We start from the raw sequence: 23,652 nt of genomic DNA, 5'->3' as shown, positions 1-23,652 counted from the left end.
GAAACCCTGTCTCTACTAAAAATACAAAATTAGCTGGGCGTGGTGGTACATGCCTGTAATCCCAGCTACTCAGGAGGCTGAGGCAGGAGAATTGCTTGAACCTGGGAGGCGGAGGTTGCGGTGAGCTGAGATTGTGCCATTGCACTACAGCCTGGGCAACAAGAGCGAAACTCTGTCTCAAAAAAAAAAAAAAAAAAAAAAAAGAGAGAAACAGACACACACAGATAGAGAAGGTGAAAGTGACAGAGAGAGAGACAGAAGAGACAGAGAGATGAAGAGAGACACAGATATGAACAGATAGAAGAAAGGAAAGAGACAGAGAGAGACCCAGAGGGAGCAAGAGGGGAGAGACACAGAGAAGTACTTAGGGGGTCCCTGAAGGATGAGGAGCTTCCGAAAAATCGGTCACGGCAGGAAGCAATTGCCACCCACAGTGCAGAACAAAACACCCATCTTTGGGTGGAGGTGACGCCTGGCAACAGTTGCCTGCATTACACCAACAACACTCCAGGGCACATTTTTTGGAGGAATGGATTCAACCCATCCAGCAGTGACACCTTTCTAACAGGCAAATCCAGGACAGGAAGGAACCAAGCAGCAACTCCAGGGGCGGTTCTCGCAGAGGTGTGGCACCTGGAAGCTGCTTGTTCCTGCCAACTTCTGGAACAGGCAAAATTCACCTACTGGCGCAAAAAAGTCTGCAGAGGTTTACATCGGGAGGGCTTGGGAGTACTTGGGGGAGAGGCTATGTGGGGCTTCTGTGAAGAATGCGAGGAAGAACCAGAGAATGTTCGAGATCTTGACCTGGCCCTTGGGGGTGCACATATGTAAAATTTCTTTTTTTTTTTTGAGACAGAGTCTCGCTTTGTCACCCAGGCTGGAGTGCAGTGGCACAATCTCGGCTTACTGCAACCTCTGCCTCCTGGGTTCAAGTGATTTCTGGCTAATTTTTGTATTTTTAGTAGAGACAGGGTTTCACCATATTGGTCAGGCTGGTCTTGACTCCTGACCTCAAGCGATCTGCCCGCCTCAGCCTTCCAAAGCGCTAGGATTACAGGCGTGAGCCGCTGTGCCTGGCCAAATTTCTTTTCTTTTTTTTTTTTTTTTTTTTGAGATAGGGTCTAGCTCTGTCACCTGGGCTAGAGTGCAGTGATACTATGAGGGCTCACTGCAGCCTCTACCTCCCCAGGCTTAGGTGATCCTCCCATATTAGCCTCCCGAGTAGCTGGGACTACAGGCATGCGCCACCACTCCCGGCTGTTTGTATTTTTTTTTTTTTAGAGATGGGGTCTTGCTATGTTGGCCAGGATAGTCTCGAACTCCTTGCCTCAGCCTCCCAAAGTGCTGGGATTACAAGCGTGAGCCATCATATCAGGCCTAAAATTTCACTAATGAGTGTTCTGGGTGTATATATGTTAAACTTTGTTTTGTTTTGTTTAAGTGAAACAATCAGATCTAAGAAGGTTGGCATCTTTTTGGCAGGCGAATGGTGGGGAATCTTGTGTCCTAAACTTTGGGAAGAAAGTGAAAAGTGGGGCTGGGCGCAGTGACTCACGCCTGTAATCCCAGCACTTTGGGAGGCCGAGGCGGGCGGATCCCCTGAGGTCAGGAGTTCAAGACCAGCCTGGTCAACATGGCAAAACCTCGTCTGTACTAAAAATACAAAAATTAGCCGGGCCTGGTGGTGCGCAGCTGTAATCCCAGCTACTAAGGGAGGCTGAGGCAGGAGAATCGCTTGAACCCAGGAGGCGGAAGTTGAAGTGAGCTGATACCGTGACATTGCACTCCAGTCTGGGCAACAAGAACGAAACTGTGTCTCCAGAAAAAAAAGAAAGCAAAAAGTGGAAACTGCAGGTCTGGAGAGAGGAGAACCAAGGAGAAGGGCTATTTCCTCTCTGGCCACAAGATAAAAAGCTGCCATCCTTCACCATCCGAGAAGCCCCGAAGCTCGGAGGGATTTCCAAAGATTGTTTAATTGATTTTTCTTCTATTTAGATGTAGATCAGTGTCTGGGGCCCAGGAATTCAGACACCCGGCTTTGTGTCCACTCAGCCCCGTGAAGGCTCCTGTCTGAAATGTGCACAAAGCCTGACACACAAGTCTTCAGAAACATGCTGTTTCTTTTTGTCTGGCTCTCCGGGGAGCGGGTGAGCAGGCAGGGCCTCGGGCACGCTCCCATCTGCAGGGTCCCGGGACCCCGTCCCTCCATCCCGTTCACGAAGTGGGCAGGAAAGAAAAAAAAAAAAGGGAAACAGCCAAAACTTTGAGGTCTGAAGTTGGGGATGAGGGGGTGATTAAAAAATGGGGGGTACAGCTGGGGACTGCCACGCTGAGGTTTCAACTTAGATTTTTCTCCAAATCTAGGATTCTGGAATGGGAACAGAGGTTACTTTAAATCAGGCAGCTCATAGGCTAGGATAAACAGGGGTTTGGCTCTGGTCTCTGCCGATCTGATTTATATAACGAGAAAACACTTCCGTCTTTCTCTCTGTGCATTGCTCCCCAGCCTGTCCCTACAAAATACTCCATCTGGAAAAGAAACTAGAAAGGTTTTGCAGACTGGCATCTTCTTCAGGGCACCAGGAATGACAGCCCCCCTCGGCCCCTAATATGCCATCTTTTCCTCCCCCAGCTGCGAGGAGATGACAGCGAGGCTCACTGTACCCCTTCCTACAAGGTCAAGATATGTTCCCCTGCCACCCCACCCCACATATTCCTGCCTGGTCCTTCCTGAACCATGAATTACCTGCCTAAAACATACCAGAGAATTCTCACTTTGGCTGTTCAGAAACCAACCTGAGTCACGATTTGTCTGAGTCAATGGAAAAGATTTTTAAAAAGGAGGGAGATCCTGGCCGGGGGTAGTGGCTCACACCTGTAATCCCAGCACTTTGGGAGGCCGAGGTGGGTGGATCACCTGAAGTCAGGAGTTTGAGACCAGTCTGGCCATCATGGTGAAACCCCATCTCTACTAAAAATAGAAAAAAGTAGCCAGGCGTGGTAGCAGGTGCCTGTAATCCCAGCTACTCTGGAGGCTGAGGCAGGAGAATCGCTTGAACCCAGAAGGCAAGGTTGCAGTGAGCCAAGATCGCGCCACTGCACTCCAGCCTGGGCAACAGAGTGAGATTTCGTCTCAAAAAAAAAAAAAAAAAAAAAAGAGGGAGATCCTAGAGTTGGATAATTCCTAGGTAAAGTAGACGCCAGCACCACATAAACAGCTGTGTCCTGGAAACCAGCTACGTTTATATCCACACCTGGCCCTCCAGACCCAGATCTGTAGCCGCTGGCCAGGGCCTGGGGCACTTCTGAGGCAATGCCACTCCCATTTCTTGGCTGTGTGACCTCGGAGAACTCCCTTCATCCCTCCTCTGGGCCTCAGTTTCCTATTCTGTTAAGTGGGCACAAGAATAACTACACGTACTATGCATGGGTTGTTGGGAGGATTCAGAGCGCTGGGGTACAAACACTCAACAGATGTGTGCTCCGGTGGTTACCATCCAGGAAGAGATGTGGATCCGACATCGTTTTTTAAGAGCTGGCTGGGCGTAGTGGCTCACGCCTGTAATTCCAGCATTTTAAGAGGCTGAGGCAGGAGGATTACTTGAGGTCAGGAGTTCGAGACCAGCCTGGCCAACATGGTGAAACCCCGACTCTACTAAAAATACAAAAATTAGCCGGGCGTGGTGGCAGCCACCTATAATCTCTGCCACTCTGGAGGCTGAGGTGGGAGAATCGCTTAAACCCAGGAGGCGAAGGTTGCAGTGGGCTGAGATTGTGCCATTGCATTCCAGCCTGGGTGACAGAGTAAGATTTCGTCTCAAAAAAAAAAAAAAGTTTTTGTTAAAAGGGGACCTTCTTGGATGCCATAACTTTCTGGGGTGTGCCCAGCTCCAAGCCTGACTCCCACCCTCCGGATCTAAGTTACCTGAACTGCAATCCAACTGGCGTTCACGGTGTGTTCCCCAAAAGGGCCAAATCCTGAAAAAACAGGAAAAGCAATATATTACCCAAGAGTGGCCCTTCCCAGTCTGCCCCTGGCCTGGCCGCTACTCCCACCTGGAGAAGCAAGAAAGGAGCTTCAGGGCGCAGCTGCCAAGGACAACATTGGGGGCCTGGTCCTGAGTTCTGGGAGCACCTGGAGGCCCGTCAGAGCCGCCGTCCTGCACCTGTCCGCTCTGAAGTCAATGAGTCCCTTCCTGTCTTCACCTCCACCTGCCCCTCATGCTCAGCCAGGGGCCAGAGGTATCTTCTGCCTCCGAAAAGGTCCTGATCCTGTCTTCACTTCCTCTGGTCCCCTTGACTCAACCTACAATTATTGTGTCACTGTCCCAAAATGCCCTGAATCGGCACCAAATGAGGAATGAGCCCTCCAGGCTGTCTAGATTTCACCTTGTCACCCTCCTCCCTGCTAGCTCAAACTCCAGGCCCCCTTTCCAAAACACGACAGTCGCCCAAGGCTGTGCTAAGTGATCTTCCTGGCATTAAGCCTGGCCACATCCCCTTTCAGGCAAGGGTGTTTCCTAGGCCCAGTTTCCAGGAGCAGGGACTGAGGCACAGAGAGGTGAAGCTAGCTGCCCAAGGTCACACAGCAAGAAGGTGAAAAAGCTGGGATTCAAATCCAGATCTGGGGCTGGGTGCGGTGGCTCATGCCTGTAATTCCAGCACTTTGGGAGGCCAAGGCGGGCGGATCACCTGAGGTCAGAAGTTTGAGACCAGCCTGGCCAACATGGTGAAACCCCGTTTCTACTAAAAATACAAAAAATTAACCAGATGGGGTGATGCGTGCCCGTAATTCCAGCTACTCAGGAGGCTGAGGCAGGAGAATCGCTTGAACCCAGGAGGCGAAGGTTGCAGTGAGCCGAGATCGCGCCGTTGTGCTCCAGCTTGGGCAACAAGAGCAAAACTCCGTCTCAAAAAAAAAAAAATACGGTCCATCTGGGCCAGTGATCCCACAGGATATGAATGCTATGCAGAGATGCTGTAGCCTGGGATAGCAGGTAGGGGCTGTGGCTCAGGAGGGGACCTCCTAACTCTATCCTTCTGTACAGCCAAAGTTTGAGTCTCAGCTCAGCCCCTTACAAACTGGATGACCTCTGTGAGCCTCAGTTTCCCTTTCTGCAAAATGGAGACAGTAAAGATGTAATCAGCTCATGCAAAAAGTGCTGGAATAAATAACCAGATAAAGGAAGGCTGGAAGGGATGGGGGCAGTGACCCTCCTCCCAATTATACACACCTGTTAAGCAGGTGCCTTGTTTCTTCCTTCTTCCCTGAATCTCCTGGATCAGCCTCAATCTCCCTTCAACAGCCACAAAACACCTGTGTGCACCTTTGCTGGATTTCCCACTCTGACCCCTCCAGACAGCAGGTCAAAATGACCCCCCCACTCCTTGACTCTGAGGCCCCAGCGGAAGTTGGCGCCCCACGTGGCCCCGAGGCGGAGTCTCAGGGAGGAGAAACAGTTGGTTTGGGGGTGGGGGGGAGTCGGTGACAGCAGGGGCCCTGACTCACCAACAAACAGCCCTGGCACAAAACACAAAAAGGTTTCCGCTGAAGACAGTCCCTGGGACAGCTGGGAGAGCCCGAGGTCCCCGGACCCCCACCTGCCCCTGCCTTGGGAGAGTAGCCCCCCAGGAGCGCAGGGCGCGGCGAGCAGTGACTGGGAGGTTCATTTGTCACTGGGACACTTCCTGCCCGCAAATCGGCCTTTGTCCCCTGGGGCCAGGGGTTGGGGGAGCGGTGTGGGGACAGGCTGGACCTCGGAAGGGGCAGGGAGGAAGGGTCCAGTCCAGCCCGCAGGCCAGACAGAGGAGGCAGGTGCCAGGAGGGTCACCATCCCCACCTTGGGAGGAAAGGACGCCAGGGGGGCCTGCGCAGCGCCGGGCTTTTGCCCGGCCCCCCAAGCCCCGCGCCCGACTGCCCTGACTCCCGACCCTGGGACCCCCAAGGCTCCTCCTCCTCCACTTTCCAGGAAGCCTGGGCTGCGCGGGGCTCCCGCGGGTGATGACACCTTCCAAATCTGAGAGGACTTCCAGCACCTGCCCCTCTCGGCCCCGCAGTCCCGGAGCCGCCCCCGCCTCTGCCCCCGGCCGCTGCCGCTACAGCCCCCATCAGCCAGCGTACCCGTCACTACCACCGCCTTCCTCGGCTGCTCCATGGCGGGATCGGGCTGTGCCTCGGACCTGCTTCTGTTGCGACTGGCGCGACAGCTGCTGCCGCTGCAGCCTCTCGGCCGCGCGAGGCCACGCCCCTGTCAAGCCCCCGGCCTCGCCCCCGGTCAGCCGCTCGGCGTGCGCGCCCCCGGGCCCGAGACGCAGCGTGCGCGCCCTGCGCCCCGCCCCCGTCGGCTAGGCCCGGTATTCCCCAGCCTCCGTTTCCCCGTCTGCAAAATGGGAACATCTTATGCCGTAGTGTGTAGCCGCTTGCACGCACTGAGCCAGGTGCTGGGGATGAGCCGGTCCTTTATTCTGCAAGGGTTCATTGAGGGCCTGCCCTATGCATGCATACTGCGCAGAATTAGGGAGGGAAGTCCCCGCGAGCAAGGCCCGTTTTCCAGATAAGGAAACTGAGGCACAGAATGCCACTTCCCCGAGGTCACTCGCCTCAAGGGGTCACAGGAGCAGCATTCAGGCCAGGAAGTTGGCGGGGGTGGGGGAGGACAGAGTAAAAAAGGAAAAACACGACAACCATATTTGTGTGGTGCCAGAAGTTTCTCTGCAGGCCCCCATGGTCCTAGGAGGCTAATGGGGGAGGGCGATTGTACCTGCTGTTCCCTCTGCCGGAACACACCCCGCAGGTACCTGCGAAGCTGGCCTCCTTCAGGCCTCAGCTCCAGTGTTCCAATGTCGCCTCCTCCCAGGGGCCCTCCTCCTGTCCTGGCTGTCACCTCCTCCGAGGGGTGAACTGTCACTTTCTCCTTGTGGCCTTCTCTGGCTATCACCTCCCTGCTATCCTATTACCTCCTCTGAGGGTTCCTTCTGGCCCTCCTTGGCTGAAATGACCTCACTGCTACCCCCCAGTGGTTCCATCTCATTCCCTGGTTCCATCCTCTTCATAGCAATAAAGCTCAGAAATAATTTCCTTTCTCTCTCTTTTTTTTGGAGACAGGGTCTCACTCTGTTACCCAGGCTGGAGTGCAGTGGCAAAATCATAGCTCTGTAACTTTGACCTCCAGGGCTCAACTGATCCTCACATCTCAGCCTCCTGAGTAGCTGGGACTACAGGTGTGTGGCACCACACCCAGCTAATTTTTGTATTTTTGTAGAGATGGGGGTTTCATAGTGTTGCACAGGCTGGTCTCGAACTCCCGAGCTCAAGCAATCCGCACACCTTGGCCTCCCAAAAGTGCTGGGATTACAGGTGTAAACCAGCACACCTGGCCAGAAATCATTTTTAATTTTTTTTAGCTTTTAAGTTTTGGGGTACATGTGCAGGTTTGTTATATAGATAAACTCGTGTCATGGGGTTTGTTGTACAGATTATTTAGTCCCCCAGGTATTATTAAGCAGAAATTATATATGTATTTATTTATTTGAGACGTAGTTTCACTCTTGTCACCCAGGCTGGAGTGCAGTGGTGTGATCTTGGCTCACTGCAACCTCTGCCTCCCGGGTTCAAGCAATTCTCCCACCTCAGCCTCCCAAGTAGCTGGGATTACAGGCGAGTGCCGCCATACCCAGCTAATTTTGTATTTTTAGTAGAGAGGGAGGTTCACCATGTTGGCCAGGCTGGTCTCGAACTCCTGACTTCAGGTGATCCACCCTTTTCAGCTCCCAAAGTGCTGGGATTACAGGCGTGAACCACTGCCTCCGGCCCCCTCCCCAGGTATTATTAAGCAGAAATCATTTAGTATGGTCACAGCCTCTCTGGTTGGCTTCCCGTTTCCTCCGACATAGAGATGAGAACTTCTAGAGGAGGAAGCGTTGTTCTGTTAGAGCTGCGTCTCAACACCCAGCACATCCCCAGGCACATTCTGCCAACATTCATCAGAGACCAGAATTCCTCTAAAAACAGGTAGAAAATGAAAGCTGAGTTTCTGGCCACATCTTCAGAAACAGGACTGGACCTTGGACTTGGGTCACGAATTTTTTTTTTTTTTTTTTTTTTAGACAGGATCTTGTTCTTTTGCCCAGGCTGGAGAGCAATGGAGCGATCACAGCTCACTGCAGCCTTAATCTCCAAGGCTAAAGCAATTCTTCCACCTCAGCCTCCCGAGTAGCTGGGACTACAGGCGCGTGCTGCCATGCCCGGCTAATTTTTATATTTTTTGTAGGGACGAGGTCTTGCTATGTTGCCTGTTTGGGTTGGTCTTGAAATCCTGGGCTCAAGCAATCCTCCTGCCTCAGCCTCCTAAAGTGCTGGGATAACAGGCATGAGCCAGAACTCCTGACTGTGTGGTTCACTGATAGCCCGTTCCACTTTGACTTTGCCATCATTCGCCAAGACACTATGGTTTTTTGTTTGTTTGTTTGAGACAGAGTCTCACTCTGTCGCCCAGGCTGGGGTGCAATAGCACGATCTAGGCTCACTACAACCTCCGGCCCCTGGGTTCAAGCGATTCTCCTGCCTCAGCCTCCTGAATAGCTGGGACTACCAGCACCTGCCACCGTGCCCGGCTAATTTTTGCATTTTTAGTAGGGATGGGGTTTCACCATGTTGGCCAGGCTGGTCTTGAACTCCTGACATCAGGTGATCTGCCTGCCTTGGCCTCCCAAAGTGCTGAGATTACAGACATGAGCCACCGTGCCCAGCTGGTACTATGGTGTTTACTGGCTCCACCCCCGAATTCCTCCAACACCAAGGGCAGAGTTCTCTAGACTGCCCCTGAGCCCTGTTTGGAAGCCCACACCCCAGGTCACACGCTCAGTGGCTATTTTGGTCTTTAGCAGCTTCAGGTAGAATGCAGAACATCAGAGAGCTGTCTGAGCTGGCCAGGGAATGAGGTCCAAGCCAAGAGGGAGAAAAGAGCAGATCAAAACACTAACCTGGCCAGGCGCAGTGGCTCACGCCTGTAATCCCAGCACTTTGGGAGGCCGAGGCAGGCGGATCACTTGAGGTCAGGAATTCGAGACCAGCCTGGCCAACATGGTGAAACCCTGTCTCTACTAAAAATGCAAAAAACTAGCAGTGAGTGGTGGCGCGTGCCTGTAGTCCCAGCTACTGGGGAGGCTGAGCCAGGAGAATCACTTGAACCCAGGAGGCGGAAGTTGCAGTGAGCTGAGATCGTGCCACTGCACTCCAGCCTAAGCGACAGAGCGAGACTCCGTCTCAGAAAAAAACAAAACAAAACAAAAAAACCACTCACCCAAAGGCAGGTTTTATAACCTGAATATGTCATACGTGCCTGGTGTGGAGTATGTGCGTTGCTAGAAGAGGGAAGGCGAGAGGGAAGTGACAGTGGATTTTAGTTTCCTCAATTGCAATGGGAGGAACGAAAACATGTAGAGTCAGCAGTGATGGGGAGAAACTGAGTCATGCCCCACTGCCCCAGTGACTGGCGTAAAGGCTAATGTTCACTCGTAGCCCTAATCATGTTTGGGCCATATTTTTGTTTTTTGAGATATGATCTTGCTTTGTCTCACAGACTGGAGCACAGTGGCACAGTCACAGCTCACTGCAGCTTCCACCCCCTGGGGTCAAGCCATCCTCCCACCCCAGCCTCCCAAGTAACTGGGACTACAGGCATGTGCCACCATGCCCAACTTGGAGGAACTTTTTTTTTTGAGACTGTCACCCAGGCCGGAGTGCAGTGGCACGATCTTGGCTCACTGCAGCCTCTGTCTCCCAGGTTCAAGTCATTCTTCTGCCTCAGCCTCCCAAATAGCTGGGACTACAGGTGCACGCCACCATGCTTGGCTAATTTTTGTATTCTTAGTAGAGATGGGGTTTCTCCATGTTGGCTAGGCTGGTCTCAAACTCCTGACCTCAAGTGATCTGCCCGCCTCGGCCGGGGTTGGGGGGCAGTGGTTTGTAGTAACATGTACATAACATAAAATTTACCATCTTAAGCATACCCTTGGGTAGCATTAAGTACGTTCACATTGTTGTGGAACCATTACCACCATCCATCTCCAGAACTTGTTCTTCCCAAACAAGCTCCATACCTATTAAACGCTCCCTCCCTATTCCCCTCCCTCAGCCCCTAGCACCCAACATTCCACTTTCTGTCTCTATGAATTGGATGACTGTGGCTGGGTGTGGTGGCCCATGCCTATAATCCCAGCACTTTGGGAGGCTGAGGCAGGTGGATTGCTTGAGGCCAGGAGTTCAAGACCAGCCTGGCCAACATGGGAAAACCCTGTCTCTTAAAAATACAAAAATATTAGCCAGGCATGGTGGTGAAACGGGAAAGGTTCCCTTGTTCCCCTCGCAGGGTGGGCGATGGGGGTGTGGCTTGCTTCTGAAGTGCTCCTCTACTCAGACCTCTAGGGGAGCATATAGATGGGCAGGCTGTGGGACTCTGACCCCACAGCAGTGTCCGGGGTGAATGTTTACAGCTCCTGAAGCCCCAGGGGGCGTGTGTTACAGGTTGCTTTTTTTAGTTTGCCATCTATAGGCAGCTTACCAGCTCAGTTAGATCCTCTACCTTGTCACAAGGACAGAGGGATTTCTTTTCTTTTTTTCTTTTCTTTTCTTTTTTTTTTTTTTTGAGACAGACTCTCGCTCTGTCCCCTAGGCTGGAGTGCAGTGGCTTGATCTTGGTTCACTGCCATCTCCGCCTCCCGGGTTCAAAGTGATTCTCCTGCCTCAGCCTCCCAGGTAGCTAGGACTACAGGTGACCGCACCCTTACCTGGCTAATTTTTTTTATTTTTAGTAGATATGGGGTTTCACCATGTTGGCCAGGCTGGTCTCAAACTCCTGACCTTGAGTGATACACCCACCTAGGCCTCCCAAAGTCCTGGGATTACAGGCATGAGCCACTGCGCCCAGCCCAGACAGAGGGATTTTAGTATCCTGGGGTTTCTTGCCTTGGTGTACCAGAAGAATGAGATCACACCTGGGCTTGGAGAATGAGTATGAAGTTTTATTGAGTGGAAGTAGCCCTCAGTAGATGGGGGAGCGAGAAGGGAGATGGTCTTTCTCTGGAGTTGGGTCGCTAGGCGGCCCCAGCTCTCCTCTGACTGCCCAGGCCAAACTCAGCCTAGTTCCACTGGTCGACTACCCGCCTGCATGCCAGTGTGCCCTTCCGCGAGCGTGCTCCCTCGACGTCCTCTCGCTGTCCAGCCACTTGTATCTTCTTCCATGGATGTGTACGTCAAGACGTCCAGCAGCTTGTGTGTCTGCCCGCTAGGGTCTCGGGTTTTTATAGGCACAGGATGGGGGCGTGGCGGGCCAGTGTGGTCCTGGAAAATGCAATATTTGGGCACGAAGGCGGGAGTGCGGATCCTCACCTAGGTCTCTGGGGGTGGAGCCCTAGCCAGGGACCAGGCCCTCCTTTACCCCGCACTTCCCTTCCCTATCATTTAAAGGCACCACGCTCCCCCCATCCCAGCACTCCCGTATCAGTGGCACATGCCTGTGATTCCAGCTACTTTGGAGGCTGAGGCAGGAGAATCGCTTGAATTCAGGCGGCAAAGATTGCAGTGAGCCAAGATCGCACCACTCCGCTCCAGCCTGAGCGACGGAGCGAGACTCTGTCTCAATGAATAAATAAATAGGCCACACGCGGTGGCTCACGCCTGTAATCCCAGCACTTTGGGAGGCCGAGGCGGGCGGATCACGAGATCAGGAGATCAACACCATCCTGGCTAACACGGTGAAACCCTGTCTCTACTAAAAATACAAAAAATTAGCAGGGCATGGTGGCGGGCACCTGTAGTCCCAGCTACTCAGGAGACTGAGGCAGGAGAATGGCGTGAACCCGGGAGGCGGAGCTTGCAGTGAGCCGAGATCACGCCACTGCACTCCAGCCTGGGAGACAGAGCGAGACTCCATCTCAATAAAATAAAATAAAATAATAAAAATAAATAAATAATAAAATAAATGGCCGGGCACGGTGGCTCACACCTGTAATCTCACCACTTTGGGAGGCCAAGGCGGGTGGATCATTTGAAGTCAGGAGTTCAAGACCAGCCCGGCAAACATGGTGAAACCCTATCTCTACTAAAAATACAAAAATCAGCCAGACATGGTGGTGCATGCCTGTAATCCTAGCTACTCAGGAGGCTGAGGCAGGAGAATCGCTTGAATCTGGGAGGTGGAGGTTGCAGTGAGCCGAGATCGCACCACTGAACTCCAGCGTGGGCAACGGAGCGAGAGTCTGTCTCAAAAAAACAAACAAACAAAAAACAATGCTGTGAAGCCTGACGCAGAGGCTCATGCCTGTAATCCAGCAGTCCCCAATCTTTTTGGCACCAAGGACTGGTTTTATGGAAGACAATTTTTCCATGCACTTGGGGGTTGGGGGGGATGAAGATGTTTTCAGGATGAAACTGTTCCACCTCAGATCATCAGGCATTAGATTATCATAAGGAGTGCACAATCTAGATCCCTCACATGTGCAGTTCACAATAGGGTTCACACTCCTATGAGAATCTAATGCTGCTGCTGCTGGTCTGGCAGAAGGCGGAGCTCAGGAGATACTGGGGAGTGATGGGTACTGGCTGTAAATACAGATGAAGCTTCACTGGTTTGCCCGCTGCTCACCTACTGCTGTGCGGCCTGGTTCCTAACAGGCCACAGACTGGTACCAGTCCTTAGCCCAGGGGTTGGGGACCCCTGCTGTAATCCCAGCGCTTTGGGAAGGTGAGGTGGGAGGATTGCTTGAGGCCAGGAGTGTGAGACCAGCCAGAGCAACAGAGCAATACCTATCTAAAAAAAAACCAAACAAACAAAAAAATGCTAAATAGAGCAAAACCTGCCAAGCTGGATGTTGGTTTGCAAAACAAGCTGCATTTTTTAAATGTATCTCTTTTTTTTTCTAGAGAGAATCTTGCTCAGTCACCCAGGCCGGAGTGCAGTGGTGCAATCTTGGCTCACCCCACCTCCCAGGTATAAGCAATTCTTGTGCCTCAGCCTCCGGAGTAGGTGGGGCCACAGGCGCAGGTCATCATGCCCGGCTAATTTTTTTTTTTTTTTTTGTATTTTTGTAGAGACAGAGTTTCACCGCCTGGCTAATTTTTTTTTTTTTGGTATTTTTGTAGAGACAGAGTTTCACCGTACTGGTCTGGAATTCCTGACCTCAAGTGATCCGCCTGCCTCAGCCTCCCAAAGTGCTGGGATTACAGGCATAAGCCACTCGCCCAGCCTAAAATTTATCTTTTTTAGAGACAGGGTCTCACTCTGTCGACCAGGCTGGAGTGCAGTGGCTAGTCACAGGCATGATCCCGCTACGGATCAGCACTGGAGTTTTGACCATCTCCGTTTCCAACCTAGGCTGGTTCACCCCTCCTTGGGCAACCTGGTGGTTCCCTGCTCCGGGAGGTCACCATATTGATGCCAGACTTAATGTGGACACCCAATCAGCACAGTGCGCTACAGCCCACAACTCCTGGGCTCGTGTGATCCTCCTGCCTCAGCCTCCCGAGTAGTTGGGATCACGGATGTGTATCGCTGCGCTGGGCAGAAGCTACATTTTTCTCTAGCCTCCCACCTCCACAACCCAGGGAAGTTTGGGGAGCTTCTGAGGACTAAGGCCACCCTGAACCCAAGCCCTAGGGAGCCAGGTGGGGGAAGGCAGGACTCATGGACTCTGCACCGGCGCTCAGATCCTGCCCCTGGGGGCTCCAAGCCTCTCTGGGCTTTGCCAGTTGCTAATAGGAGTGGCCTTGGAAGGGAGGGAGATTTGGAGCTCATGGGGACGACACGGCTCTGCGTTAGGGCTCTGTCCTTTTGGCTCTGTCAGAGTAAACCAAGCCCAGTTTGAGGACTGCAGGGGGCCTCATGGCCATGGTAGGGAGAGAGATGTCTGGGCAGACATGCATTCTTTGTTGTTGTTGTTGTTGTTGTTTTTTAAACACAGTCTCGTTCTTGTCACCCAGGCTGGAGTGCAATGGCACGATCTCGGCTCATTGCAACCTCTGCCTCCCAGGTTGAAGCAATTGTCCTGCCTCAGCCTCCCGAGTAGTTGAGATTACAGTTGTCTGCCACTACGCCTGGTTACTTTTTTGTATTTTCAGTAGAGACAGGGTTTTGCCATGTTGGCCAGGCTGGTTTCAAACTCTTGACCTCAGGTGATCCACCTGCCTTGGCCTCCCAAAGTGCTGGGATTACAGGCATGAGCCACCGTGGCTGGCCCAGACATGCATTCTTAAAGGATGAATGTGTCCTTTTTCTCCAGGCGGTGTCTGGAGATAGTGAAGCCTTTGGGGAGCTCAGGCTAGAAGACAAGGCTCATACTTGGGAGGTGGAGGCAGGAGGATGAGTTGAGTCCAGGAATTCAAGACCAGGCTGTGCAACCCTATCTCTACAAAAAATTTTAAAATCACCCGAAGGTGGTAGCGAGCTCATCAGGTCCCAGGTTCTCAGGAGGCTGAAACAGGAGGATCACTTGAGTCCAGGAGTTCAATGCTGCAGTGAGCTATTATCCTTTTATTTATTTTTTTTTTTTGAGATGGAGTCTCACTCTGTTGCCCAGGCTGGAGTGCAGTCGTGTGATCTTGGCTCTCTACAACCTCCACCTCCCAGGTTCAAGTGACTCTCCTGCCTCAGCCTCCCAAGTAGCAGGGATTACATGCACGCGCCATCACACTTAGCTAATTTTTGTATTTTTAGCAGAGATGGGGTTTCACCATGTTGGCTAGGCTAGTCTCGAACTCTTGGCCTCAAGTGATCTGCCCACCTCAGCCTCCCAAAGTGCTGGGATTACAGGTGTGAGCCACCGCACCTGGCCTGAGCTACCATCTTGCCACTGCACTCCAGCCTGGGCAACAGAGTGAGACCCTGTCTCAAACAACAACAACAAAAAGACTAGGCCCACAGATGTGCTTTTGGTGGTCAGCCACTGCCCATGGCCCCTGCTCCCACATCCAGCCCTGGCCCGCCCCTTGGAGGGTATATTTACTGCTCCACTCCCCACTCCTGCCTCTCCCTCTTTTCGCCTGGAGTAGTTTGAACGTTGAGGCTGGGTCTTCTTTCCCTTTAGTCTGTGCCAGCACACAGTAGGTGCACAATTAATGCGCGGGGGCAGAGATGTGTGCAGGATGAAGGGGGGCTGGATCCAGCAGTCTCCGTGCCCATCTAAGGAACTTCTACCAGGCCACTGGGCGTAGGTGGACAGTGGAGGAAGTTTCAAGACCCCACTTGAGGGGGTCTTTCTGAGACTCTGTCTTAAAAAAAAAAAAAAAAGAAAGAAAGACCCCATGGCTGGGTGCAGTGGCTCACGCCTGTAATCCCAGCACTTTGGGAGGCTGAGGCAGGTGGATCACCTGAGGTCGGGAGTTCAAGACCAGCCTGACCAACATGAAGAAACCCGGTCTCTACTAAAAATACAAAATTACCCGGGCGTGGTGACACATGCCTGTAATCTCAGCTACTCAGGAGGTTGAGGCAGGAGAATTGCTTGAACCCAGGAGGCAGAAGTTGCAGTGAGCTGAGATCACGCCACTGCACTCCAGCCTGGGCAACAAGAGCGAAACTCCGTCTCAAAATAGTAAAAACAAAAACAAAAACAAAACAAAACAAAACAAAACCCATTTGAGGAATCTCTGCTTCTTCTGACTCTGGGATATGAAGGCGGCCAAGGACAGGGGCAAATGAACCTCTGTTCTTTGGTTGCCTGCACCCCAGGAATGCACTGGGCAAGGTACAAATGATATTTTGTTTCAGCTCAGGTGGCCATGGATCAGGAAGGGCCTGATCCATGTGAGGCTCCTGGTTCCCCGGATGGGAGAGGGTCACTGCCTTGACCAGCGAAGCGCAACCCAGGAGGGTGTCTGCGTTTCCTTTTTTTTTTTTTTTGGAGACGGAGTTTCACTCTTGTTGCCCAGGCTGGAGTGCACTGGCGCGATCTCAGCTCTTTACAACCTCCACCTCCTGGACTCCAGCGATTCTTCTGCCTCAGCCTCCCAAACAGCTGGGATTGCAGGTGATCACCACCATGCCCAGCTAATTTTTGTATTTTTAGTAGAGATGGGGTTTCACCATGTGGACCAGGATGGTCTTGATCTCTTGATCTCGTGATCCGCCCGCCTTGGCCTCCCAAAGTGCTGGGATTACAGGCGTGAGCCACCTCGCCTGGCCCAGCTAATTTTTTTTAAAAAAACCTGCTATTTACTTATTTACTTTTAAGATGGAGTCTCACTCTGTTGCCCCGGCTGGAGTGCAATGGCGTGATCTCAGCTCACTGCAACCTCTACCTCCCAGGTTCAAGCGATTTTCATGCCTCAGCCCCCCAAGTAGCTGGGATTACAGGCACACGCCACCATGGCTGGCTAGTTTTTGTACCTTTAGTAGAGACGGGGTCTTGCCATGTTGGGCTAGGCTGGTTTTGAATTCCTGACCTTAAGTGATCCACCCGCCTTGGCCTCCCAAAGTGTTGGGATTACAGGTGTGAGGCACTGCGCCCAGCAAAATATTGCTCTTTTAGAATTGGCGATATTGCTGTGAGGCCCTGGCATGGTGGTTCCCTTCACCCGAAAGACTTCCTTAGTAGAAATGTTCAGAAATGGATTGCTGAGCTGAAGGGTGTGATACTTTTATAGCTTTTGAGATATAATACCAACTTTTTTCCCATTTAAAAGGAAACACATGTTTGCCAGTTTCATCACAACCTTGCCAGTACTGGCTTTTATGCTGTTCTTTTTTTTTTAGTAGTGGGTAGGGTATTTTTGTTAGTTGGAGACGTACATTGATCTAGACTTCTTAGGTTTCTGCTGGAAGAAATACAATTTTTTTTTTTTTGAGACAGAGTTTTGCTCTTGTTGCCCAGGCTGGAGTGCAATGGCATGATCTCGGCTGACTGCAACCTCTGCCTCCTGGGTTCAAGTGATTCTCCTGACTCAGCCTCCTGAGTAGCTGGGATTACGGGCACCCACCACCACGCCTGGCTAATTTTTGTATTTTTAGTAGAGACAGGGTTTTGCCATGTTGGCCAGGCTGGTCTCGAACTCCTGACCTCAGGTGATCCACCCGCCTTGGCATCCCAAATTGCTGGGATTACAGGTGTGAGCCACTGTGCCCGGTCAGAAATATAATTTAAGCTGGATCCAGAATAGGATTTTGGTTAGTGGAATACGGAAGAATGAAGATTTATGAAGCATCAGATACAGCTGGGCTCAGGCTTAGACACGGCCATGACTCTGCAGTGAAGAAATGGCCATGGCTATACCTGACTGTGATCGCCGATCACTCCAGCTCTGCAATCCCAAAACCATCCCAAGGAAGATTTTTTTTTTTTTTTTCATAGGATCTCGCTCTGTCACCCAGGGTAGAGTGCAGTAGCATGATCATGGCTCACTGCAGCCTCGAAATCCCAAGCTCAAGCCATCTTCCCATCTCAGCCTCCCAAGTAGTTGGAATTACAGGCACGTGCCACCACGCCCAGCTAATTCTTCTTAAGTTTTTTTTGGAGAGATGAGGTCTCGCTATGTTCCCCAGGCTGGTCTCGAACTCCTGGGCTCAGGTGATCCACCGGCCGGCCTCCCAAAGTGCTGGGATTACAGGCATCAGCCACCATGCTCAGCCAGCCAGGGAAGCCTTCTGATTGCCCCAGCCTGGGTCATGCATTCATGATGATAGGGGAGGGTAAACTGTCCTGAACAGCCCCAAATAGAGCCCCAGGAAACCTCTTAGGTCCTTGCTCCTACAAGTCAAAGTTGAGAGGGCTGAAACAAGCAATTACAACATGGCATAAACCAGGCAATGATGGAAATCAGTGGAGGGTACTAAAGTTCAAAGTATAAGAGAAGGAATGATTAGCTTTTGAGCAAGGCAGCTAAGGAAGAGTTCACAGAGCAGATATGCATTAGTACTGGCTCTTTTGCCAGGGACAGACTGCAAATTCCAAGTGGATGAAGCAATTAAAAAAAACTTCTTGGGCTCATTTAAGCTCATCATAGCTGTGGCTTCAACTATAGCTGGATCCAGGGGCTCAAACCATACTTCCCTTTCCACCGAGTACCTCCGTTGTCTTGTGTCTGCTGGATTATTTCTGCAGAAAGCTTCTTCCAGAGGACAGAGCCTAAGGGGTGCTGGACTTTCCCTTTAACTCCCCAGGAACCAGCTCTTCTCCCTCCCAGCCCTCGGTATCCTTCCCAGGGGAGAATCTCATTGGCCTTGGTAAATTCCGTGCTCTTTCTTTAACCAATCCCTGTAGCCAGGGGGATGGGGAACGCTGATTGGCCACCCTTACTGTTGAAAGGGCAAACAAAAAAACTGCAGTAACCACTGGCTGCCACAAGGGGACACCGAAGCAGAGGTTTCAACGATGAATAGGAGTTTGCAAGTTGTGCAAAAAAAGAAAGACTGCATGTAGAAAAGTCTAGAAAAGTCAGAAAGGATGACCCAGCATGCGGTTTGCTGCTACCTTCATCGCCATGTTGATGCTGGGACACCTCATAGACCCTGTTTCTTTCCTTTTTTTTTTTATGATGGAGTCTCACTTTGTCACCCAGGCTGGAGTGCAGTGGCACCATCTCGGTTCACTACAAACTGCGCCTTCCGGCCTTAAGTGATTCTCTTGCCTCAGCCTCCCAAGTAGCTGGGACTACAGCCGCAGGCCACTGCACCCAGCTAATCTTTTTTTTTTTTTTTTTGAGACAGAGTCTCGCTCTGTCACCCAGGCTGGAGTACAATGGTGCGATCTCAGCTCATTGCAACCTCCGCCTCCCGGGTTCAAGCGATTCTCCTGCCTCAGCCTCCTGAGTAGCTGGGATTACAGGCGCCCGCCAACACGCCTGGCTAATTTTTGTATTTTTAGTACAGACAGGGTTTCACCATTTTGGCCAGGCTGGTCTTGAACTCCTGACCTCAGGTGATCCACCTGCCTCGGCCTCCCAAAGTGCTGGGATTACAGGCGTAAGCCACCGCGCCAGCCTAATTTTTGTATTTTCAGTAGAGATGGGGTTTCGCCATATTTTCTTTTCTTTTTCTTTTTCTTTTTTTTTTTTTTTTTGAGATGGGGTCTTGCTCTGTTGCCTAGGCTGGAGTGCGGTGGTGCAATCTGGTCTCACTGCAGCCTCCACCTCCCTAGTTCAAGCAATTCTCCCACCTCAGCCTCCTGAGTAGCTGGGATTACAGGCGCACCACCACACCCAGCTAATTTTTGTATTTTTTTTTTTTTTCAGTAGAGACAGGGTTTCCACCATGTTGGCCAGGCTGGTCCTGAACCTGAACTTTCCTGAACTTTCGGCCTCCCAAAGTGCTGGGATTACAGGCATGAGCCACCATGCCTGGCCTATTTTAAAATTTTTAGTAGAGACGTAGGTCTTATTATGTTGCCCAGTCTGGTCTGGAACTTCTGGCTCAAGTGATCTCCTCCCACCTCGGCGTCCCAAAGTGCTGGGATTATACGTGTGAGCCACTGCGCCTGGCCTGGCTTCCTCTTATAAGGCTCCCTGGGCTTTCTCAGACCTCCAGAGTCCACTCCACCTGGATGTGGTGCCAGTCAGAAGGATCAGGGAATTGGGATTTCGAACTGCTGGGCTCAAACGATCATCCTGCCTCGGCCTCCTGAGTAGCTGGGACTACAGGCGTGCTCCGCCATGCCCAGCAGGAAAATCTTTGAGAAGTTGAACAAGGGTTCCCCAGTTCAGCTCTGAGAGGCATAGGGTCCTTTCAGCCAGAAGTTCCTCACCCTGGACTTGGTAAGAAAAGGCTCTCAGGGCAGTGCTGAGACTCAGGAGGCTGGGATACAAGGAGTCACTTTATGAGGTCCCCTATTGCTCATTTGTAGGCCTGAAAGTCAAGGCATGTGGCCAGGGGATGGAACCTTTGATTGGCACCTAGATAAGCCTCTTCTAGGAATTCAGGTTATAGTCCTGCTTGCAAGTGTATGTAACTATAGGCATGTCATTGGCCGGGCACAGTGGTTCACTCCTGCAATCCCAGCGCTTTGGGAGGCCGAGGCAGGTGGATCACCCGAGGTCAGGAGTTTGAGACCAGCCTGGCCAACATGGTGAAACCCCGTCTCTACTAAAAATACAAAAATTAGCTGTGTGTGGTGGTGCACACCTGTAATCCCAGCTACTTGGGAGGCTGAGGCAGGAGAATCGCTTGAACCCAGGAGGTGGAGGTTGCAGTGAGCCGAGATCGCGCCACTGTACTCCAGCCTGAGTGACAGAATGAGACTCTGTTTCAAAAAAAAAAAAAAAAAAAAACTATAGGCATGTCACTGTGGAGAAGTAAACTACTCAAATAAATGCCTATGTTTAAAGCTACCACAGCTGATACTTGATGTAATGAGTAGTAGCCCCTAAAAATATATATCCCAGCTGGGCATGGTGGCTCATGCCTATAATCCTGGCACTTTGGGAGGCCAAGGTGGGAGGATCTCTTGAGCCCAGGAGTTGGAGGCTAGCACGGTGAGGGCAGGGCAACAAGCAGACCCCCATCTCTACAAAATGAATAAATAAATAAATTAAATTAATAAATAAGCTGGGCGTGGCGGTGACACCTGTGTGCAGTCTCAGCTACTCAGAGGCTGAGATGGGAGGATCACTTGACCCCAGGAAGTTGCGGATGCAATAAGCCATATGGCACCACTATACTCCAACCTGGGCAAGAGGGACGCAGTCGTAAAAAAATTTACACACACACACACACACGTATATCCAAATCCTAACCTGCTGGTAGCTGTGAATGTGACTGTAATTGAAATAGGGTCTTTGCAACTTGATATACAGTGAGGTTCATTTGTTTGTTTCCATTTTTAGGGATTTCTTTTGATTTTTCCTTTTGACTTTTATTTTTAATTATGCTTCCAAAGTTGAAACTAGACAATAAGGTACACTGAAAGAAGTCTGGCTTTCATTCTTATGATTTCATCTTGTTCCCTTATTCTCCCAGGTTACTTTTTTTTTTTTTTTTTTTTTTTTGAGATGGAGTCTTGCTCTGTCACCCAGGCTGGAGTGCAATGGCATGCACTGTAACCTCCTCCTAACCGGGTTCAAGTGATTCTCCTGCCTCAGCCTTCTGAGTAGCTGGGACTACAGGCACGCGCCACCACGCCCAGATAATTTTTGTATTTTTATAGAGATGGGGTTTTACCATGTTGGCCAGGCTGGTCTCGAACTCATGACCTCAGGTGATCCACCTGCCTCAGCCTCCCAAAATGCTGGGATTAAAGTGTGAGACACCGTGCCTGGCCTATATTTTGGTTCATGCTTCTTTTGTTTGTTTGTTTTGAGACAGTGTGTTGCTCTGTCACCCAGGCTGGAGTGCAGAGGCAGGATCACAGCTTACTGCAACCTCTGCCTCCTAGGCTCAAGCAGTTCTCCCTGCTCAGCCTCCTGAGTAGCTGAGACTTCATGCACAGTCACCACACTTGGCTACTTGTTTGCATTTTTTGTAGATTCAGGGTTTTGCTGCTGTATTTCCCAGGCTGGTCTGGAACTCCTGGGCTCAAGTGGTCCAGCCACCTCAGCCTCTCAGAGTGCTGGGATTACAGGCATGGGCCACCGCTCCTGGCCTGGTTCGTACTTTTTACGTTTCTTTTTTTTTTTTTTTTTGAGACAGAGTCTCACTCTGTCGCCCAGGCTGCAGTGCAGTGGCACGTTCTCGGCTCACTGCAACCTCTACCTCCCGGGGTCAAGCAATTCTCCTGCCTCAGCCCCCAGAGTAGCTGGGATTACAGGTGCCCGCCACCATGCCCAGATAATTTTTTTGTATTTTTAGTAGAGATGGGGTTTCACCATATTGGCCAGGCTGGTCTCAAACTCCTGACCTCAGGTGATCTGCCCACCGCGGCCTCCCAAAGTGCTGCAATTACAGGCATGAGCCACTGAGCCTGGCCTTTATGTTTCTTATTAAAAATATAAGCAAATTTGGTTCACGTGCTTGGTGTGGTTAAAAAAAAAAAATATATATATATATATATATACACACACACATGCAAATATATATACACATACACATGCATGTATTTCTCTTTTTGCACACAAAAGAGGACATATTGTAAAAACTGTTCTCTACCTTGGTTTTTTTCACTTAAGATATCCAGACACCATTCAATGTCAGTATATGAAGATTGTCTTCATTCCTTTTTATAGCTGTATTACTCTATTATTTGGTCGCATTGGGTTTTTTTCAGTCTTTTGATATTATGAATAATGTCAATAAATAGCATCAGTCATTTAAAAACGAGGCTGGGCGTGGTGACTCATGCCTGTAATCCCAGCACTTTGGGAGGCCAAGGTGGAAGGATCACCTGAGGTCAGGAGTTCGAGGCCACCTCCTGGCCAACATGGCAAAACCCCGTCTCTGCTAAAAATACAAAAATTAGCTGGGCATTGTGGCATGTGCCTGTAATCCTAGCCACTCGGGTGGCTGAGGCAGAAGAATCCCTTGAACCCAGGAGGGAGGGGTTGCAGTGAGCTGAGATCGCACCACTGCACTGCAGCCTGGGTGATAGAATGAGACTCCATCTCAAAAAAAAAAGAACAGGGTCTTCGCAGATGTAATTAAGGATCTTGAGATGACATTATCCTGAAATTTATGGTGGACTTAATAAGAGAAAGGAGTGTCCTTTACAAGAAAAAGGAGCGGCCGGGCTCGGTGGCTCACGCCTGTAATCCCAGCACTTTGGGAGGCAGAGGAGGGAGGATTGCTTGACCCCAGGAGTTCGAGACCAGCCTGGACAACATAGGGAGACCCTGTCTCTACTACAAAAAAAAAAAAGAAAAAAAAAAGGAGAGATACATTTGAGACTCAGAGACACACAGAGAAGGCCAAGTGACGACAAAGGCAGAACGCGGAAGGCTGCATCTACAAGCCAAGAACTCCAAGGATTCCCAGCAGCCACCAGAACCCAGGAGAGAGGCATAGGACACACAGATTGTCCTCAGAGCCTCCAGAGGGAGCCAACTGTGCTGACAACCTCACTTCATTATTCTGATCTCTTGAATTGTGAGAAAATCACGTTCTGTTGTTTTAAACCTCGCAGTGTGTGGGCATTTGTTACAGCAGGCCCCAGAAAACTAATAGCATTCGCCTATTTACTTTGTTTACTGTCTGTCTCCCTGAGGGCCACGAATTTTGTGTTTTGTTCATTCTGTGAGCAGAAACAGGCACAGAGTAGGTAATAAGTACTTAATATGTGCCAGACGCTGTTTTAAGTGCTTTTACATGGTTTCATTCATTTCATCCTTACAGTAAGCAACGTTTTGGAGCAGACACTACTATTTACAGGGAGCAAACTGAGGCCCCGAGGGTCGTGGTCAGGATTCCAACCTATTAAATGATGTTCCCTGGATAATTACAGAATCAGAAAACTAGGAGTCGGAAGGGCAACATCAGGCACGGCCCAATCACCACGAAGCCTCGATTTCTCTCTCTCTACTGCAAACGAAAGGCATTAACTGGCTTTGCCCACAGCGTGGAGCCCAGGAGACCGACGAAGGTTTCACCTGCGCACGCATTTCCTCACAATGCACCCCGCGCCGGCGCGCGTTGCTCCGCCTCCTTTTGCATTACAAGCCGCGGCACTTTACGGCTCTCGTCCTCGTTCCTCCGGCGGGAACACGGCCCGCCCCGCCCTTTCGCCCAGCGGGCCCCGCCC

The 23,652-nt window shown here is 51.0% G+C and overlaps 1 protein-coding gene, 1 long non-coding RNA gene and 1 pseudogene across 9 annotated transcripts in view, besides 9 other annotated features; all 3 read right to left on the bottom strand.

Moving 5' to 3' along the window:
• PGPEP1 (pyroglutamyl-peptidase I) overlaps positions 1–6,239 on the bottom strand; it is a 29,353-nt gene extending 23,114 nt beyond the window's left edge. For 7 of the 8 annotated variants that reach the window (NR_138029.2, NM_001329478.2, NM_017712.4 and 4 more), the window contains exons 1-2: positions 6,122–6,239; positions 3,926–3,978 (exon numbers count right to left, since the gene is read on the bottom strand). Coding sequence is in view for 5 of the 8 variants with exons in the window: in NM_017712.4 (NP_060182.1) it covers positions 3,926–3,978; positions 6,122–6,155 (87 nt within the window). In the remaining 3 variants the exon portion in view is untranslated. The remainder of the gene's footprint in view (positions 1–3,925; positions 3,979–6,121) is intronic. The other variant, NM_001329477.2, reaches the window with a different exon arrangement.
• Positions 140–722: an enhancer, noted in NCBI's record as "OCT4-NANOG hESC enhancer chr19:18456925-18457507 (GRCh37/hg19 assembly coordinates)". NCBI's record gives its function as "activates a minimal SCP1, AML or CMV promoter by ChIP-STARR-seq in naive and primed H9 embryonic stem cells {active_cell/tissue: H9 hESC(naive and primed)}" and the evidence as "EXISTENCE:reporter gene assay evidence [ECO:0000049][PMID:30033119]".
• Positions 1,225–2,062: an enhancer, noted in NCBI's record as "NANOG-H3K27ac hESC enhancer chr19:18455585-18456422 (GRCh37/hg19 assembly coordinates)". NCBI's record gives its function as "activates a minimal SCP1, AML or CMV promoter by ChIP-STARR-seq in naive H9 embryonic stem cells {active_cell/tissue: H9 hESC(naive)}" and the evidence as "EXISTENCE:reporter gene assay evidence [ECO:0000049][PMID:30033119]".
• Positions 2,063–2,902: an enhancer, noted in NCBI's record as "NANOG-H3K27ac hESC enhancer chr19:18454745-18455584 (GRCh37/hg19 assembly coordinates)". NCBI's record gives its function as "activates a minimal SCP1, AML or CMV promoter by ChIP-STARR-seq in naive H9 embryonic stem cells {active_cell/tissue: H9 hESC(naive)}" and the evidence as "EXISTENCE:reporter gene assay evidence [ECO:0000049][PMID:30033119]".
• Positions 5,682–6,369: an enhancer, noted in NCBI's record as "H3K4me1 hESC enhancer chr19:18451278-18451965 (GRCh37/hg19 assembly coordinates)". NCBI's record gives its function as "activates a minimal SCP1, AML or CMV promoter by ChIP-STARR-seq in naive H9 embryonic stem cells {active_cell/tissue: H9 hESC(naive)}" and the evidence as "EXISTENCE:reporter gene assay evidence [ECO:0000049][PMID:30033119]".
• Positions 5,682–6,390: a biological region, named in NCBI's record as "H3K4me1 hESC enhancer GRCh37_chr19:18451278-18451965".
• Positions 6,201–6,390: a silencer, noted in NCBI's record as "silent region_10390". NCBI's record gives its function as "represses an Ori minimal core promoter by ATAC-STARR-seq in GM12878 lymphoblastoid cells {active_cell/tissue: GM12878}" and the evidence as "EXISTENCE:reporter gene assay evidence [ECO:0000049][PMID:35858748]".
• On the bottom strand, positions 11,002–18,112 carry LOC124904654 (uncharacterized). The gene is made up of 2 exons (XR_007067158.1): positions 18,058–18,112; positions 11,002–11,341 (listed from the first exon to the last, which is right to left on the bottom strand). It is a non-coding gene; the product is annotated as an uncharacterized LOC124904654 (long non-coding RNA).
• On the bottom strand, positions 13,264–13,561 carry RN7SL513P (RNA, 7SL, cytoplasmic 513, pseudogene; annotated as a pseudogene).
• Positions 18,384–18,503: an enhancer, noted in NCBI's record as "active region_14314". NCBI's record gives its function as "activates an Ori minimal core promoter by ATAC-STARR-seq in GM12878 lymphoblastoid cells {active_cell/tissue: GM12878}" and the evidence as "EXISTENCE:reporter gene assay evidence [ECO:0000049][PMID:35858748]".
• Positions 22,620–23,222: an enhancer, noted in NCBI's record as "NANOG-H3K27ac hESC enhancer chr19:18434425-18435027 (GRCh37/hg19 assembly coordinates)". NCBI's record gives its function as "activates a minimal SCP1, AML or CMV promoter by ChIP-STARR-seq in primed H9 embryonic stem cells {active_cell/tissue: H9 hESC(primed)}" and the evidence as "EXISTENCE:reporter gene assay evidence [ECO:0000049][PMID:30033119]".
• Positions 23,421–23,640: an enhancer, noted in NCBI's record as "active region_14313". NCBI's record gives its function as "activates an Ori minimal core promoter by ATAC-STARR-seq in GM12878 lymphoblastoid cells {active_cell/tissue: GM12878}" and the evidence as "EXISTENCE:reporter gene assay evidence [ECO:0000049][PMID:35858748]".

This window comes from Homo sapiens, chromosome 19 (assembly GCF_000001405.40).
Source record: "Homo sapiens chromosome 19, GRCh38.p14 Primary Assembly".
In the NCBI taxonomy this organism is placed as follows: domain Eukaryota; kingdom Metazoa; phylum Chordata; class Mammalia; order Primates; family Hominidae; genus Homo; species Homo sapiens.
Note: the sequence above shows the minus strand (reverse complement) of the source record. Positions and strands in the feature narration are given on the sequence as shown.